Consider the following 14,891-nt stretch of genomic DNA (forward strand, 5'->3'; position numbering starts at 1 on the left):
AACATAGGGAGATTCCCGTCTTTACCAAAAAAAAAAAAAAAAAAAAATTAAATTAGCCGGGCGTGGTGGCGCGCTTCTGTGGACCCTCCTACTCAGGAGGCTTAGGCAGGAGGACGGCTTGAGCCCAGGAGGTCGAGGCTCCAGTGAGCCAAGATCGCGCCACTACACTCCGGCCTGCGGCATGCCTCAAACCTGGGGTCCGGCACCCTGCGGCCTTTTCGCGGCCGCACCCATGGCAACAGTTAACTAGCAACCTCGCGCATTCTCGCGAGAATGAGTCCCCTCAAGGGCACAGGTGCGGTCCCCAGCCTCTTGGGCCCCCAGTCAACCTCACTGTCCACACCGAGCCCTCCTGCGCACGCGCGCTGCGGAGCCGGACAGTTGGTGGTGCTGGCTTGGCCCGGCTGTTCGTCTCCGCGCCTTGCTCCGAAGCGCGCGACCGTGGCGCGACACGCCGGCGCACAGGCGCTCTCGGGGAGGGGCGGCGCGCAGGCGCGGCTGGGGGTGCGAGGCTGCGCAGGCGCGGACGGCGTTGGTTTGAAGACCTTCAGCGTTGCCCTGGCGGAGCAGAGACAGGCCCTCGGGGTGGAGGTGAGGAGAGCTGAGGCCGCGCGGGCTCCAGTCCCGGAGAGCGGTGGGCCGCGGCCGAGCAGAGCGCCAGGCGGGAGGCGGGCCTAACGGAGGCTCTGTGGGCAGGGAGCAGGCTACCGGGGCGCGGGGGGCCGGGGCCGCTCGCTCCCGCCGGGACCCGCCCGGGCCACCTCAGGCGATGGAGCCGCAGCACGGCGGGGCAAGTGGCCTCCGGGCGCGGGCAGCGACCTATCCCGCCGGCGTGTGGACCGCACTTTCCTCCCAGGGGTCAGCTAGAAAGGAGATCGGTTCTAGGGAAGTTGGATCCTCGAACCCCACACCCATCTCCCGCCCGCCCCTGCCCCCTCCTTACGGCCGAGGGAGGGTGCCCTGCGTGCAATTCAAAACGGAGAAGCGAGGAACGAAAAGGGCTCTGTACTGGCTGTCAAGTTAGTGGCTTTGTAAAGCAGTAGCAACCGGCTTAACGCCTTTCCCCGTCTGCGTCTCCTGCAGCCTCTGTGCAGTGTGCACATCTATGGGCAGGTGCATTCTGTAGAGCTGGTGGAGACGTGTGGTTGTAGCTTTACTCTCGAGGAACATGAAGTTTCTGTTGTTCTCGATTTTTGCTTGATCATACTAGCAGTGCATTTCCCATCAGAGTCATAGGCCTGAAAAAGTCAGCTTGAACTAGGCAGAATTGAGGTCAGTTAGTATACTAAACCAGCTACGTGACTTTTGCATAGTATCTCGTACTGGTTTTGAAAAATAACAAAACAAAATGCTGAAATATTGTAAATAGTCCCTAGACGTATATATAGTGCTTCTAAACATTTAAGTGTATCTTTTCTCGGCAGTATGAAAAACCAGACTGTAAAGCTTTAACATTTCTATTTCAATATATACTGCCTGCATTTCTATACTTACTTCCCAAATTACAGACTTCTGGCAAAATTTCAACAAATATCAACATCAGTTGTAATCATAAAGAGTAATATCAAATTGCAATTGGGATAATATAAAAAGCCTAGAATTGATCACTTTAGTACAAGGGATTGAATTGTAAAATAATCGTTCTGTAAGTGAATTATGAAACCTGGTAGCTTAGAGCAAAGTTTTACTATGGAATGAGTCAGTACATTTATACTACCGTTTCCTCTTTAATTTTTTTTTCTTTTTAGTTTTTTATACTAGTCTCTTTATATCATAGTGTCTGTCATATTTGACAGGTTTATGTTAAGGAACAAAACTTAAATGCATTCCCATTTAAGTGCATCATATGTATATGTTTGGTATGATGGGGTAGGCAGAAGCTTAGCAGAAGTCTGGATTAAGAGCTGGGCTATATATAAATAAATATGAGCTTAAATGTGTAGATCATTCAGGCGTAGCAATTGCAAGGGCTAGCTGGTACTCTGGATTTTTCTGACATATGGGCTAATGGCACTGCTAGAGGTGGCTCTGTAATTGGTTAGACATAGCTTTTGAGTCTGCGAGAGGAATACAGAAGAACCTGCTGCAGAAAGATTTCCCATGATACAAAGAGGGCAAAGGAATGAGATAATCAGCAGTGTTGATAGCTCTGAGAATTTGATATGAGGGTCATATTACCAGTAGCAAAGCTGGGCAGATTTTTAGTAGGCAAGATGAAAAATCAAGGCACCTGAGGTTTTTGAAGGCTTTAACTTCAGAGTTTACACTAACTTTTGGTAAGCAGGTTGCTGCAGGTAGAATCTGTCATATTTCTGGTTAATGGGTAAAATTATAGCACTTTAAGAAGAGCTTTGAGAGAAGATATATTCTAGATGAATACACTTCAATTCGTATGGTAAATTCTTATTTTAAGAACTGAATTTCAGAGGAGAAAAATGTTAACCCTGAGGATTTTGATTGCATCTTTTAACAGTTTCTTTAAAAATTTCCATTGTTGTCTTATACAGGTCTTTGGTTTCATAAGAGCCTGAGAGAGATTTTTCTAAGGTAAATTTTGCATATATTTTTAAAAGAAGTCCAGTTTAACATAGCATCTTTTTCATCCTGTAAGAACTTACTTTTCTTTGAAATGCAATCAGAAAGATGACCTCTGAATCTCACGGGAAAACTGTTTTATTCTCAGTATTCTGGAAAGGTCTGTTTTTTAAGGAGCAGACTGCTGTCTCATACCTTTGATTGCATTAAAGCATTAATGATACACAGGAAGAGAAAACTGTATACCCCTTCTCACAGGATTAAACAGCAGAAGAACTGTGGGTGAATAAATACTAAATGGTTATTTTTATTCCTTTGCCCTGTTTTTCTTTATAAGATATGTGTAACACACCAACGTACTGTGACCTAGGAAAGGCTGCTAAGGATGTCTTCAACAAAGGATATGGTAAGTATGCTATTGTAACTTTCCAGTTTGGGGTAAAGGTTAGTGTTGAATGCCTACTGTGTGTAAATACTGTGTTAGTAAAATAAGGGTAAGTCAGCATTATTCCACTTCACAAGATTTAAGGGGATAACTATTAACAGGCTATTAGACCTCATTCTTTAGAGGCAGAACCCCTTACAAGCATTAAAAGCAATTATATACATATACAGATGCATATACATGTCCATATTTAATGTTATCTGGAATGTAGAATAATATATATAACATTTATGTCTCTTTGTCTGGCCCTGAGGACAATTAAATTAGGGGGTAGAACTTTTCCTCCCTCCAAACAGTGGCATTGTTTTTATGAAAGTGACAACATAACTTTTGACTTCTTTGGAGTAATGTATATTCTGATCCTAAATAAATATTTTTTAGGTTTTAAAATTTAACTTAAATTTATGTGCTGTACATATTTGATTTTTTCTTATTAACTAGTAATGTTAACTATATTTTAAACGATATATATAGCAGCACACTATTTTCAGCAATTTTGATTCTTGGAATAGTGCATATTCCTTTCATTTATTTTTTTCTTTAACTTACATTTTAAAAGTATATCTTTATTCATTTTGAGTGCTTGAAAATTATACTGCATTTATTTGGTTATAATTCAGTTTCTTGAGGAACTCTCACCCAATGAAAATACTATGCATTTTTCATATGGAAGGTACTATAGGCTATTTCATAATTTCTGAGTTGCAAAAACTAGTGAATGTCACATTTTGTACATTACTGTGTTTTTGTGTGTGTGTGTGTATAGGCTTTGGCATGGTCAAGATAGACCTGAAAACCAAGTCTTGTAGTGGAGTGGTGAGTATCTAATATATTTTTAATGAATGTAACATAATTAACTTAAAGGAATCTGTTTAAAATCATGACAGTCTAGTTACTTGAACCAGCACCATGCTGTCTTCCCCACAGCTTTGTCCTCTCAGATTTTAAACAGCATTCTTAGCCAATTAAAATAAACAACCAAGTTGAATTTTTGAAGAGACCTTTTGTGTTTCTCAGAGTATACTACAGCTTTCACTCAGAAGATGTAGAATATATATTTTTTGACCCATGTCATATGTTTATACTTTCATGAATATGTATATGGGCACCAAAAACCTCACTTCCATGATAATGGGTTCATGGAAATTTTATTACCCTTTTACAAAAACAAATTAACTTTACTCTGCCCCTTCATGATTAGTCGAAACAAAATATGTAAATAAAATGTATTTCTGCACGTATGCATGTACATTATTCTACAGTTTTTAACTGATGTTTATAAAGTTTTTTTTATTGGAAGTAAAGACTACAGTAAAGGCTATGTTGGCATATTTTCAAAGTATCATTAACAATAGCTTTTGGCTGGGTGCAGCGGCTCACACCTGTAATCCCAGCACTTTGGGAGGCCGAGGTGGGCGGGTCATGAGGTCAGGAGTTCGAGACCAGCCTGGTCAACATTCTGAAACCCCGTCTCTACTAAAAATATACCAAAAATTAGCTGGGTGTGGTGGCACGCACATAGTCCCAGCTACTCGGGAGGCTGAGGCGGGAGAATCTCTTGAACCTGGGAGGTGGAGGTTTCAGTGAGCCGAGACCAAGCCATTGCACTCCAGCCTGGGTGACAGAGTGAGACTTTGTCTTAAAAAAAAAAAAAAAAAGGCCAGGTGCGGTGGCTCACGCCTGTGATCCCAGCACTTTGGGAGGCCAAGGCGGGCGGATCACGAGGTCAGGAGATTGAGACCATCCTGGCTAATATGGTGAAACCCCGTCTCTACTAAAAATACAAAAAAATTAGCCAGACCTGATGACGGGTGCCTGTAGTCCTGGCTACTTGGGAGGCTGAGGCAGGAGAATGGCATGAACCCAGGAGGCAGAGGTTGCAGTGAGCAGAGATCGTGCCACTGTACTCCATCCAGCCTGGGCAACAGTGCAAGACTCCGTCTCAGAAAAAATTGCTTTTATTTAATAAATCTCAGCAAGTAGGTTAAGTTTTAATTTACCTTACTCTGATTTCTCCTCATTGGCTGCATCGTTTTTGGTATTTATCCATTCAAACCCATGAAAATTTTATTTCTGAATGTATAATTAGAAGGACAAAGACATGTGGAATTCTAATGATACTGTGTATAATCATGGTTTGTGACCATCATTCTTTCCCTGGGTTTCTCTGGAGTAAATAAATATATATGCACCTCCCTTACTAAGATGGGCACGCTGTGTATATAGTTCTGTTAAAATAGAAGAATCATTCTCATTTTGTGTAGGTTCCAGAATTTGCTCATTAGGTTTGTGTTGCAAAAATTATCAACTAAAATTTTATCTCCCTTTCATGCTGCTGTTGTGTGGTAATATTCATTCAGATGGTAAGAAAAAAAAGCTTATTCGTATGCTTGTTTTTATGGCTGCTTTTGGTTTCTGGTATTGATTTAGGATAAATTTCAATCATTGTTCCAAATTTCTTAGATTGTGTCTTGATATTTTTCTCATATGCTATCTACTTAACAGTAACATTTTTGTTTGTTTTGTTGCTTACTAAGCATTTAATGTAGAGCTATATGCATGTTATATGCATGTTATAAATGTGTTTTGCACTTGTTTGACCAAATTATGAAATTAGACACAAACTGAACTGTGAATCGTGAGCCTGGAACTCAACTTAGAACAATTCTAGCCTTTTTTTCTGAGATTTGTACCTGTGGCATTTTAGATTCGTGACAGACCTTCAAACTAAGAATTGATGCTGACAAGGGAGAAATGTAGACTACCCCTCTACCTTAATTTTGTGCATAAGGTTTTTCTAGCACCAAAATTAAGATTTGCATTTGTTATACTTGTCAAGTTTGTGAAAAGTAAATGTAAAAAATAAAACACTAGATAGTTGGATCTACTAAAAGAAAAATGATTGTCACGTTAAAATAATTATGTGAACAGTTAAACATGATTAACATGTTATCATTTTTTTTTTACTAAGGCCTTCCCCTAAATGTGCAGCATGATACTCTCTTTGAAACCATTCTGTGTGGTTTGATAAACAGAACATAACTTCCCAGTTGTCTCATCTGCCTGTAGAACTAGAGTTAGGGGACAGGGCATTTGTTAAGGAGAGGATTCATGTTGCAGGCAGTGAAAAAGACTGGTCAGGGTTGGCAGCATCTCATTACTGTTGGCAGGATTTCAGAAATGCTCCCTAAAACAGGACCAATCAGAATGTTTTTTCTTGACAGTTCATAGATTGTCAGTGACAGGTGCTGTCTGCTTTCCCCAGAAGGAGGTCCATTTCTAATTGCTTATTGTCATATGACTTAAAGGGCACTGAACTAGGGCAAAGGATGTATTTTATTTTATTTTATTTTTTTGAGACAGAGTCTCATTCATAGTAACTGTTTGATAGAAAGCACTCTTAAAGGTAGACAGGATAGAAAGGGGGAAAGAAGGATAAATTATAGCATTCTACTTTATTTTGAAAAATGGGTAGTACTTTCAAATATTGAAATTGTCTAAGCAGAAGTTTTGCAGTTTTGCACACAAAAGCATTAAAGTTTTCACAGCAGTGTGACTGTACTTAATGCCACTTCACTGTACACTTAAAACATTATTAAAATGGTAAAATGTATGTTACATGTATTTACCACAATAAAAAAAAACATTTTTAAAAGGAAGTAGTAAAGTGTTGACCCTATTAAAAAGGAGGAGGGCAGTATTTTGGGATTTTTAAGGACCTTGAAATTAACTGATAGTTTGAAACATATAGCAGAGAACTGATAATCTTTTTTTAGGTCATGAAAGTAAAATGTTTAAGATACAATATTTTTGGTCTTTTTAGTAAAGGCATTTGTTTTCAGTAAAGATACTTCTTTTTTAAAGGAGAGAATTTAGGATTACCATTTGGTAAGAGAGTATATGGAACAAGAGATATTAATAAGAGAAGTAGAGTAATGGAAAGATCTGAAACTGGTATTGAGCTGTCTCACTCCGTTGCCCAGGCTAGGGTGAAGTGGCATGATCTCGGCTCACTGCAACCTCTGCCTCCTGGGCTCAGGCTGGGACTACAGTCACGTGCCATCATGCCTGGCTAATTTTTTGTATTTTTTGTAGAGATGGGGTTTTGCCATGTTGCGCAGGCTGGTCTTGAGCTCCTGGACTCAAGGGATCCACCCGCCTTGGCCTCGTAACATGCTGGGATTACAGGCATGAGCCACTGCGCCTGGCAGAACTGGTTAAAATATTTAGGGACTGGAAAAGCAAGGGGAAAGGAGGAAAGAAGTTGCTCTAGAGTAGGGCTGTGGCAAGCAGTAAATGGTATTGTTTTTGATACATTGAACACTGCTTTCCAAAGTGAATATTTTCTATTTGATGAGCTAATTTTAAAGTAATTATTTTTTCTTGCTTACCAGGAATTTTCTACTTCTGGTCATGCTTACACTGATACAGGGAAAGCATCAGGCAACCTAGAAACCAAATATAAGGTCTGTAACTATGGACTTACCTTCACCCAGAAATGGAACACAGACAATACTCTAGGGACAGAAATCTCTTGGGAGAATAAGGTAAGAGAACGCATTAGAAGTTATTCATAGGTTCAATTTATCTTGTAGATTGAATGATGAACATACCCCAAATATAATCAAAAGAGATCTTACAACCTATCTAGTAGCCATATTTTTTCTCTGCATGTGGCCTTTTTTGATGTCTTATGTTTCTAGAAAATAAGGCTTTGTTTGTGAGTACTCTAATTACTATATTACATCTTTGTTCTGACTGGTTCTCTGTTACACAGCTAAGCTTCTCCTGGGTAGAACAAACTATTTGCGGAAATTTGGTTTAGTTTTGTAATTGTTGAAAAATTGGCTTGACAGAAAAATTTTTCTAAAATGTTCTCATGTTTTCAAGGAGAAAATCTATTAGATATAGTCAAGTGCCCACTATGTACAGGGCACTGTTTTTGATAGAGATACCATGTATAGATAATGTACATGCAAAACTGAGTAAAATGACTTAGCCTGCTTGTTAAATGTCAGGTTATCTCATTACTGCTCTTTCAAGAGAGTATCAAGATGATTTTGTTGTATGGGAATTCTGTTTGGTTTTGAACTGTATTTTATGTAACTTGCTAAAATAGGATTTGCCCCATTTTTTAGTGGGAGAACCATGATGAAGGCTGGGGTGAGGGGACAGGAGGATGGAGAGCTTACTTATTACATAATTTAATATTTTGCTTTCTTGAATGACTCCTTTTTTTTGTTAAAGAACTCAGGAAACTTTAGAATTGGTTTCTTGAGTTGGATAAATGATTGAAAATTACTAATTATTTATTTTAAATCTTTGTTTTTCAGTTGGCTGAAGGGTTGAAACTGACTCTTGATACCATATTTGTACCGAACACAGGGTAATTATTCAAATCCCATTTCCTGAAACGTTTTTGGAGCCTGAAAGGGTAGAGAGCTTTAGAATAAGGAGATATAGTGCAAAGTTCAGAGGCAGGAAGAACTCAGAAGGTTGCTATAAGGAATATTGGAGACCTTGTATAGGTAATACAGATAAAGGAAGATCCCTCCCCACCAAGGCAGGATGAACAATTTGAAAACTGAATAGATGAGCAAAAATGTATAAATGTATTTGAGAGAGACACATGGTAGAAAAAATTTAGGAGCTAGAAGAGTCTTGAGACCATAGATGAATCTTAAGCAATTCTGAAGATTGATGGACATGGTATTCTGCTGAGAAAGTTAATTCCTTTTGGCTGGGCGTGGTGGCTCACGCCTGTAATCCTAGCACTTTGGGAGGCCGAGATGGGCGGATCATGAGGTCCGGAGATGGAAACCATCCTGGCTAACACGGTGAAACCCCATCTCTACTAAAAAATACAAAAAATTAGCCAGGCATGGTGGTGGGCGCCTGTAGTCCCAGCTACTCAGGAGGCTGAGGCAGGAGAATGGCATGAACCCAGGAGGCGGAGCTTGCAGTGAGCCGAGATGCACTCCAGCCTGGGCAACAGAGCGAGACTCTGTCTCAAAAAAAAAAAAAAAAGTTAATTCCTTTTTTTTCCCCCTCACCCTCTCTTATGGTGCTGAAAAGTTAATTTCTTAAGAAGGTGATCTGGCTCTCAGATGCTATAATGATTAGTTCTGCTGCCTACTTGATTTCTTAGCCTCTGTAAATCCCCCAACTTCTTGACCTCAATTTCCTCGTGAAAAAAAGGGGGATTGTGTCATTTCCTATCTGCCTAATGTGGGTCCATGCTATCTGAAGGACGGAGGTTGCTAGATGAATGCAAAGTGACATTTGTCTCAGCCGTAACAACAGGTGTGTTCTTTTTGCCACACACTTCAGTTATCTTTAGGACAAATATTCTTTTCTTTTTTTTTTTTTTTTTTTTTTTTGAGATGGAGTCTTGCTGGAGTATAGTGGCACTATCTCAGCTCACTGCAAACTCTGCCTCCTGGGTTCAAGCAATTCTCCTGCCTCAGCCTCCCAAATAGCTGGGACTACAGGCATGCACCACCACGCCCAGCTAATTTTTGTATTTTTAGTAGAGACGGAGTTTTACCACGTTGGGCAGGATGGTCTCTGTCTTGACCTCGTGTTCCGCCTGGCTCGGCCTCCCAAAATGCTGGGCTTACAGGCATGAGCCACTGTGCCCGGCCAGGACAAATATTCCTACAAGAGGCTTGATTGGAATAGGGTTATTAAGAACTAATTTCATTTTTTCAGTATTGTCCTTCAAAAAAGCATGCTTCTCTCCATGATAGGTTAATAATGTATATTGGGGATTAATTCTTTGTGGCATTTGGCATTTGGAAACATTTAAAGAGATTTGGCTTCTTGTACGTCTGTATACATACACCTTCAGATTATTAATTTGGCACTGAAATATCTTATTCATTCTTTTTTTTTCTTTTGAGACGAGTCTCGCTCTGTCGCCAGGCTGGAGTACAGTGGCATGATCTTGGCTCACTGCAACCTCTGCCTCCCAGGTTCAAGTGATTCTCCTGCCTCAGCCTCCCAAGTAGCTGGGACTACAGGCGTGTGCCACCACGCCCAGCTAATTTTTGTATTTTTAGTAGAAACGGGGTTTCACCATGTTGGCCAGGATGGTCTCAATCTCCTGGCCTCGTCATCCGCCCACCTTGGCCTCCCAAAGTGCTGGGATTACAGGTGTGAGCCACCACACCCAGCCTCTTATTCATTCTTATACTTTTGTTCATGCTTTTATGAAATAAATCATGAAGTATCCTATCATTTGAACTTATAATGAGTAATAGATGATAGTAGTCTATACATGTCTAATCCTAACAAAATTATATTTGTAGAACTAGGTCATTTGAAATGTTTTTACTATATATGTGGCATGTACCAAAATAATATTTACATTGGGAGATGAGAGAGAGGATCTTACTCTAAAAATTCCTAGACAGTAGTAAGAACTCATGTTGTTTTCATCATTTGCTTTTGTTTGTTTGTTTATTGCAGAAAGAAGAGTGGGAAATTGAAGGCCTCCTATAAACGGGATTGTTTTAGTGTTGGCAGTAATGTTGATATAGATTTTTCTGGACCAACCATCTATGGCTGGGCTGTGTTGGCCTTCGAAGGGTGGCTTGCTGGCTATCAGATGAGTTTTGACACAGCCAAATCCAAACTGTCACAGAATAATTTCGCCCTGGGTTACAAGGCTGCGGACTTCCAGCTGCACACACATGTGTGAGTGTTTATAATTTATTCCTTAGTATCAGTGCAGTTGCCCAAAATATTGTAGCCATTAGCATGCTGAGAAGTGATGGTACTCAGATTTAGCATGCCTTGGTGAATATCCATCCTTGCGGTGCTATCCTCATAGCAAAACCTTGCCAGGAGGCTGGTGCACGTGGTGTGCAGGCTGTGCTGCTGGTGGTCACTGGCCCCTCAGCCTGCACCCCAAACTTGAGGAAGCTCCAGCCTCTGTAGAAGAACCACTGGGATAGAGGGAGCCCAGAGCATGGCTTACCTCATGGTAAGATGACCCTTTGGAGATGTTACTGCTTCCTCTGCTGCCCTCTCATCTTGACAGTATCTGGAAGCAGGTCTGTTTTGGTCACCAACAACCACCACCAAATTGATCTGAGCATCCTGGGACATCCCGGTAATTCTGTGGAGGTTTCAGGTACTGGTATTCTCGGTTGGAACCCAGGTACCGCTAATGCATTCAGAAGTAACAGGTGCTCTGAAAGAGTCCTGGGATTCAGTTATGTAGGCTGCACCATGTTGGTGGGATGAATCAGAACTTTTACGTAGTATTTTATGTTGAGCCTACTGGACACTGCTACTATACCAGGAAGAAAAAGCAAAGGGCAAACTATGTGTTTTTAAACTGTTGCAGATTCCTCTCTGCTAGATGCTCTAATTTACTTATGATGGCTAAAACAAAGGCAAGCAGTGGTATAGACAGTTACTGAAATTGATGAAACAGTATTATCAGGAAAACCATGTGAAAACCCAAGGACTCACCTCTGGCATGCTTGGAAGCAATAACTAAGGTGGTTTTCTGGAGCAGTGCACCCTAGGTATCGTAGGAGGGTGCTTTCTAACTGTAGGATTGTGTTTTAAAGGAAATCCAGAATTGGTTTTATTCCTATACCTCTACCTTTTTATTTTTTTGCAGAATCTTTATTGAACTCTACTTTGAAGTTTCTAAGTTCTATGAACTTCTCAGAGACCTATAGATTATACTTACCCGAGGTGTCTGCCTTTGTGCTTAATTGAATTGTCTTAAGAAACTCACATCATGTGGAGGAGCCAAGTAAATGGATCAAGTGTTAACGTTTTAATTAAGCAGTCATTACTGGCATAGCTGGATTTAGTTCTGTGTTTTGTTTAGTAGTCATTTATGCTAGAAATTTGCTGAAATCTATAGTTACAAAATGGGATCCTTGTTTAGATAGTCTTAGAATTTGTTTTCATACCATAATAACAATGGTACAAACTAGATATTTATGACGTTTTCTTATCTATGAAAACAGGAACGATGGCACTGAATTTGGAGGTTCTATCTACCAGAAGGTGAATGAGAAGATTGAAACATCCATAAACCTTGCTTGGACAGCTGGGAGTAACAACACCCGTTTTGGCATTGCTGCTAAGTACATGCTGGATTGTAGAACTTCTCTCTCTGTAAGAATGTGCTGCCAGATTGGATCTGCTCTTATGTTTGTGTCTAAGTTTTCAGAGAATGTTGTGATATGAGTGTAGTTTGCTTGTTCTTTATTAATTTTAATAAGCCAGCTCATTGTGTAGTGAAAGGAATATAATGTGGCCAGGCTCACGCCTGTATTCCCAGCACTTTGGGAGGCCAAGGTGCATGAATCACCTGAGGTCAGGAGTTCAAGACCAGCCTAGCCAACAAGGTGAAACCCTGTCTTTACTAAAAATACAAAAATTAGGTGGGCGTGGTAGGTGACGCCTGTAGTCCCAGCTACTAGGGAGGCTGAGGCAGGAGAATTGCTTGAACCCTGCAGATGGAGAGGTTGCAGTGAGCCAAGATCACACCATTGCACTCCAGCCTGGGTGACAGAGCGAGAGCCTATCTCAAAAAAAAAAAAAAAAAAAATTATGCTTGACGTCAGGAAATAGGGGTTCTTCTAGTCCTAGCTCTTCCTGTATATCTGTTGTCTGACCTTGTCATTTTATCACTTTGGCCTCAGAATTTTCTTATTTGGAAATTCATGGGATTAGATGACTATTTCTGTTGCTATAGTAACTCTTACTAAAAATAACACTGAGCTGTTAAATTTCATGTACTGTGCTAAGGGCTTTATGTATATTATGTCATTTAACGCTCACAACCACTCCATGTGGCGATTAGTGTTATCCTCATCCCTGTTTTACAGATGAGAAAACTGAGCCTTAGAAAGGTCAGCTAACTTGCCTAAGGTCACATAGTAACTGGCAGTGCCACAATTGAACCTAGGTCTGTTTTTCTGTCACCCAAGTTCATGCCGTAACCACTGTGAGAGATTGTCAGCTGGTATCTCAGAGAATTCAGGGTGTTTGGTTGTGTAGTGTTTAAAAATTTTGCTTGAGGCCTTGAAGCATGCATTCTCAGGGTACGTCCTACCCCTACAAGTCCTACTGACTTCTTAATCAGTAATTCCGGCTGGGCACGGTGGGTCACGCCTGTAATCCCAGCACTTTGGGAGGCTGAGGCAGGGGATCACCTGAGGTCAGGAGTTTGAGACCAGCCTGGCCAACATGGTGAAACCCCGTCTCTACTAAAAATACAAAATTAGCCGGGCATGGGGGCGCATGCCTGTAATCCCAGCTACTTGGGAGGCTGAGGCAGGAGAATGGCTTGGACCCGGGAAGCGGAGGTTGCAGTGAGCCGAGATCGTGCCATCGCACTGCAGCCTGGGTGACAAGAACAAAACTTCATCTCAAAAAAAAAAAAAAAAAAAATCAGTAATTCTAGATTGGCCCTAGGGTGCTTTTAGCATTGGAAACCTAATGCACAAAGTGATGGTTATATTGGACTGATCTGTAATTCACTGTTTTCTGTTATTATTCTATCTCTTAATCTTAGGCTAAAGTAAATAATGCCAGCCTGATTGGACTGGGTTATACTCAGACCCTTCGACCAGGTAAGTAAAGGAATTAGTAACAGAGGGGTTGAGGTGGAAGGTGATAGAGAAAACAATGAAAATAACCTGCAGAACAACCTGTAGTCACTGTAAGTTGATTTGGACCATTTTGTAACATTTGGTTGTTCAGACAGAAAACAATACAGATCAAATACTTTTGCATTAAAAAAGTATGTATTTCTGACTATAATGTGGTCACTTTGGCCTTTGAGTTTGGTTGATCACTCATTGCCCTTAACCCTGAACTTCAGAGAAAGTTTGCCATGATCATGCTTTCCTCATTACACATCAGATAGTTATAAATAACCGATTGAGTAATAGCTGTTTGCTTATAGCTCGTATACCCAGCTACAATCCACACCATTGATTCCATCTGTTGTTTCTAGAAAGTTCAGATCTAATTGTAATACTTGTTTCAAGTGATTGTGGTGTTTTCTTCTTCCTAGGAGTCAAATTGACTTTATCAGCTTTAATCGATGGGAAGAACTTCAGTGCAGGAGGTCACAAGGTTGGCTTGGGATTTGAACTGGAAGCTTAATGTGGTTTGAGGAAAGCATCAGATTTGTCCCTGGAAGTGAAGAGAAATGAACCCACTATGTTTTGGCCTTAAAATTCTTCTGTGAAATTTCAAAAGTGTGAACTTTTTATTCTTCCAAAGAATTGTAATCCTCCCCACACTGAAGTCTAGGGGTTGCGAATCCCTCCTGAGGGAGATGCTTGAAGGCATGCCTGGAAGTTGTCATGTTTGTGCCACGTTTCAGTTCAGTTCTGAAGTGTTATTAAATGTGTTCCTCAGCGACAGTGTAGCGTCATGTTAGAGGAGACGATCTGACCCACCAGTTTGTACATCACGTCCTGCATGTCCCACACCATTTTTTCATGACCTTGTAATATACTGGTCTCTGTGCTATAGTGGAATCTTTGGTTTTGCATCATAGTAAAATAAAATAAACCCATCACATTTGGAACATAACTGCTCATGTGACTTGCTGGTGATGGTTTTCTTACCTTGATGTGATTTGTTTTAAGAAGCACTTTCACAGGCGAGATTTGTGTCTAAAGTATCAGGGCTGCCGTCTGTCCCTTTCACTTCACTGACCCCTGCTCTTCTCTTGCTCTCACAGGGCAGGCTGAGGAAGGAAGCAGTGAACATGGTTGTGCTGGGGAGTGGCACATCTGTTGTGCTTGTGGTGTGACAGGGTTGCTTCACCCCGGGAGTTGTGTGCAGCTGCTGAGAAAGTGTGGATGTGAGCGGGTGAAAAGACAGTTGAGGGACGAGTGCATTTGGGGAAGCATGGGGAGGA

The 14,891-nt window shown here is 41.0% G+C and overlaps 1 protein-coding gene across 16 annotated transcripts, besides 5 other annotated features; it reads left to right on the plus strand.

The window, feature by feature from the left end:
- Window positions 47-547: an enhancer, noted in NCBI's record as "H3K27ac hESC enhancer chr8:42248902-42249402 (GRCh37/hg19 assembly coordinates)". NCBI's record gives its function as "activates a minimal SCP1, AML or CMV promoter by ChIP-STARR-seq in naive H9 embryonic stem cells {active_cell/tissue: H9 hESC(naive)}" and the evidence as "EXISTENCE:reporter gene assay evidence [ECO:0000049][PMID:30033119]".
- Window positions 47-1,048: a biological region, named in NCBI's record as "H3K27ac hESC enhancers GRCh37_chr8:42248902-42249402 and GRCh37_chr8:42249403-42249903".
- Window positions 290-819: a silencer, noted in NCBI's record as "silent region_19155". NCBI's record gives its function as "represses an Ori minimal core promoter by ATAC-STARR-seq in GM12878 lymphoblastoid cells {active_cell/tissue: GM12878}" and the evidence as "EXISTENCE:reporter gene assay evidence [ECO:0000049][PMID:35858748]".
- On the plus strand, window positions 543-14,600 carry VDAC3 (voltage dependent anion channel 3). Of its 16 annotated transcripts, none has more exons than NR_182163.1 (11): window positions 543-591; window positions 2,508-2,547; window positions 2,873-2,941; window positions 3,747-3,796; window positions 7,375-7,527; window positions 8,314-8,366; window positions 10,451-10,678; window positions 11,616-11,753; window positions 11,974-12,124; window positions 13,530-13,587; window positions 14,034-14,600. NR_182163.1 is itself a non-coding variant. In NM_001135694.3 (11 exons), the coding sequence occupies exons 3-11, from the start codon at window positions 2,875-2,877 to the stop codon at window positions 14,123-14,125; spliced, it is 855 nt and encodes a 284-aa protein (NP_001129166.1). In that variant the 5' UTR covers window positions 543-591; window positions 2,508-2,547; window positions 2,873-2,874; the 3' UTR covers window positions 14,126-14,600. The 16 variants fall into 16 exon arrangements, 12 of the variants coding, with proteins under 12 accessions (NP_001129166.1, NP_001400484.1, NP_001400483.1 ...); NM_001135694.3 differs by lacking the exon at window positions 11,616-11,753 and adding an exon at window positions 5,341-5,343; NR_182160.1 differs by lacking the exon at window positions 11,616-11,753 and having other exon boundaries at window positions 10,451-10,676.
- Window positions 548-1,048: an enhancer, noted in NCBI's record as "H3K27ac hESC enhancer chr8:42249403-42249903 (GRCh37/hg19 assembly coordinates)". NCBI's record gives its function as "activates a minimal SCP1, AML or CMV promoter by ChIP-STARR-seq in primed H9 embryonic stem cells {active_cell/tissue: H9 hESC(primed)}" and the evidence as "EXISTENCE:reporter gene assay evidence [ECO:0000049][PMID:30033119]".
- Window positions 9,844-10,063: a silencer, noted in NCBI's record as "fragment chr8:42258699-42258918 (GRCh37/hg19 assembly coordinates)". NCBI's record gives its function as "represses an EF-1alpha promoter that drives an FKBP-Casp9 reporter gene in an ReSE screen in K562 erythroleukemia cells {active_cell/tissue: K562}" and the evidence as "EXISTENCE:reporter gene assay evidence [ECO:0000049][PMID:32094911]".
- Window positions 14,601-14,891: the final 291 nt, after the last annotated feature.

This window comes from Homo sapiens, chromosome 8, assembly GCF_000001405.40.
Source record: "Homo sapiens chromosome 8, GRCh38.p14 Primary Assembly".
Lineage (NCBI taxonomy): Eukaryota > Metazoa > Chordata > Mammalia > Primates > Hominidae > Homo > Homo sapiens.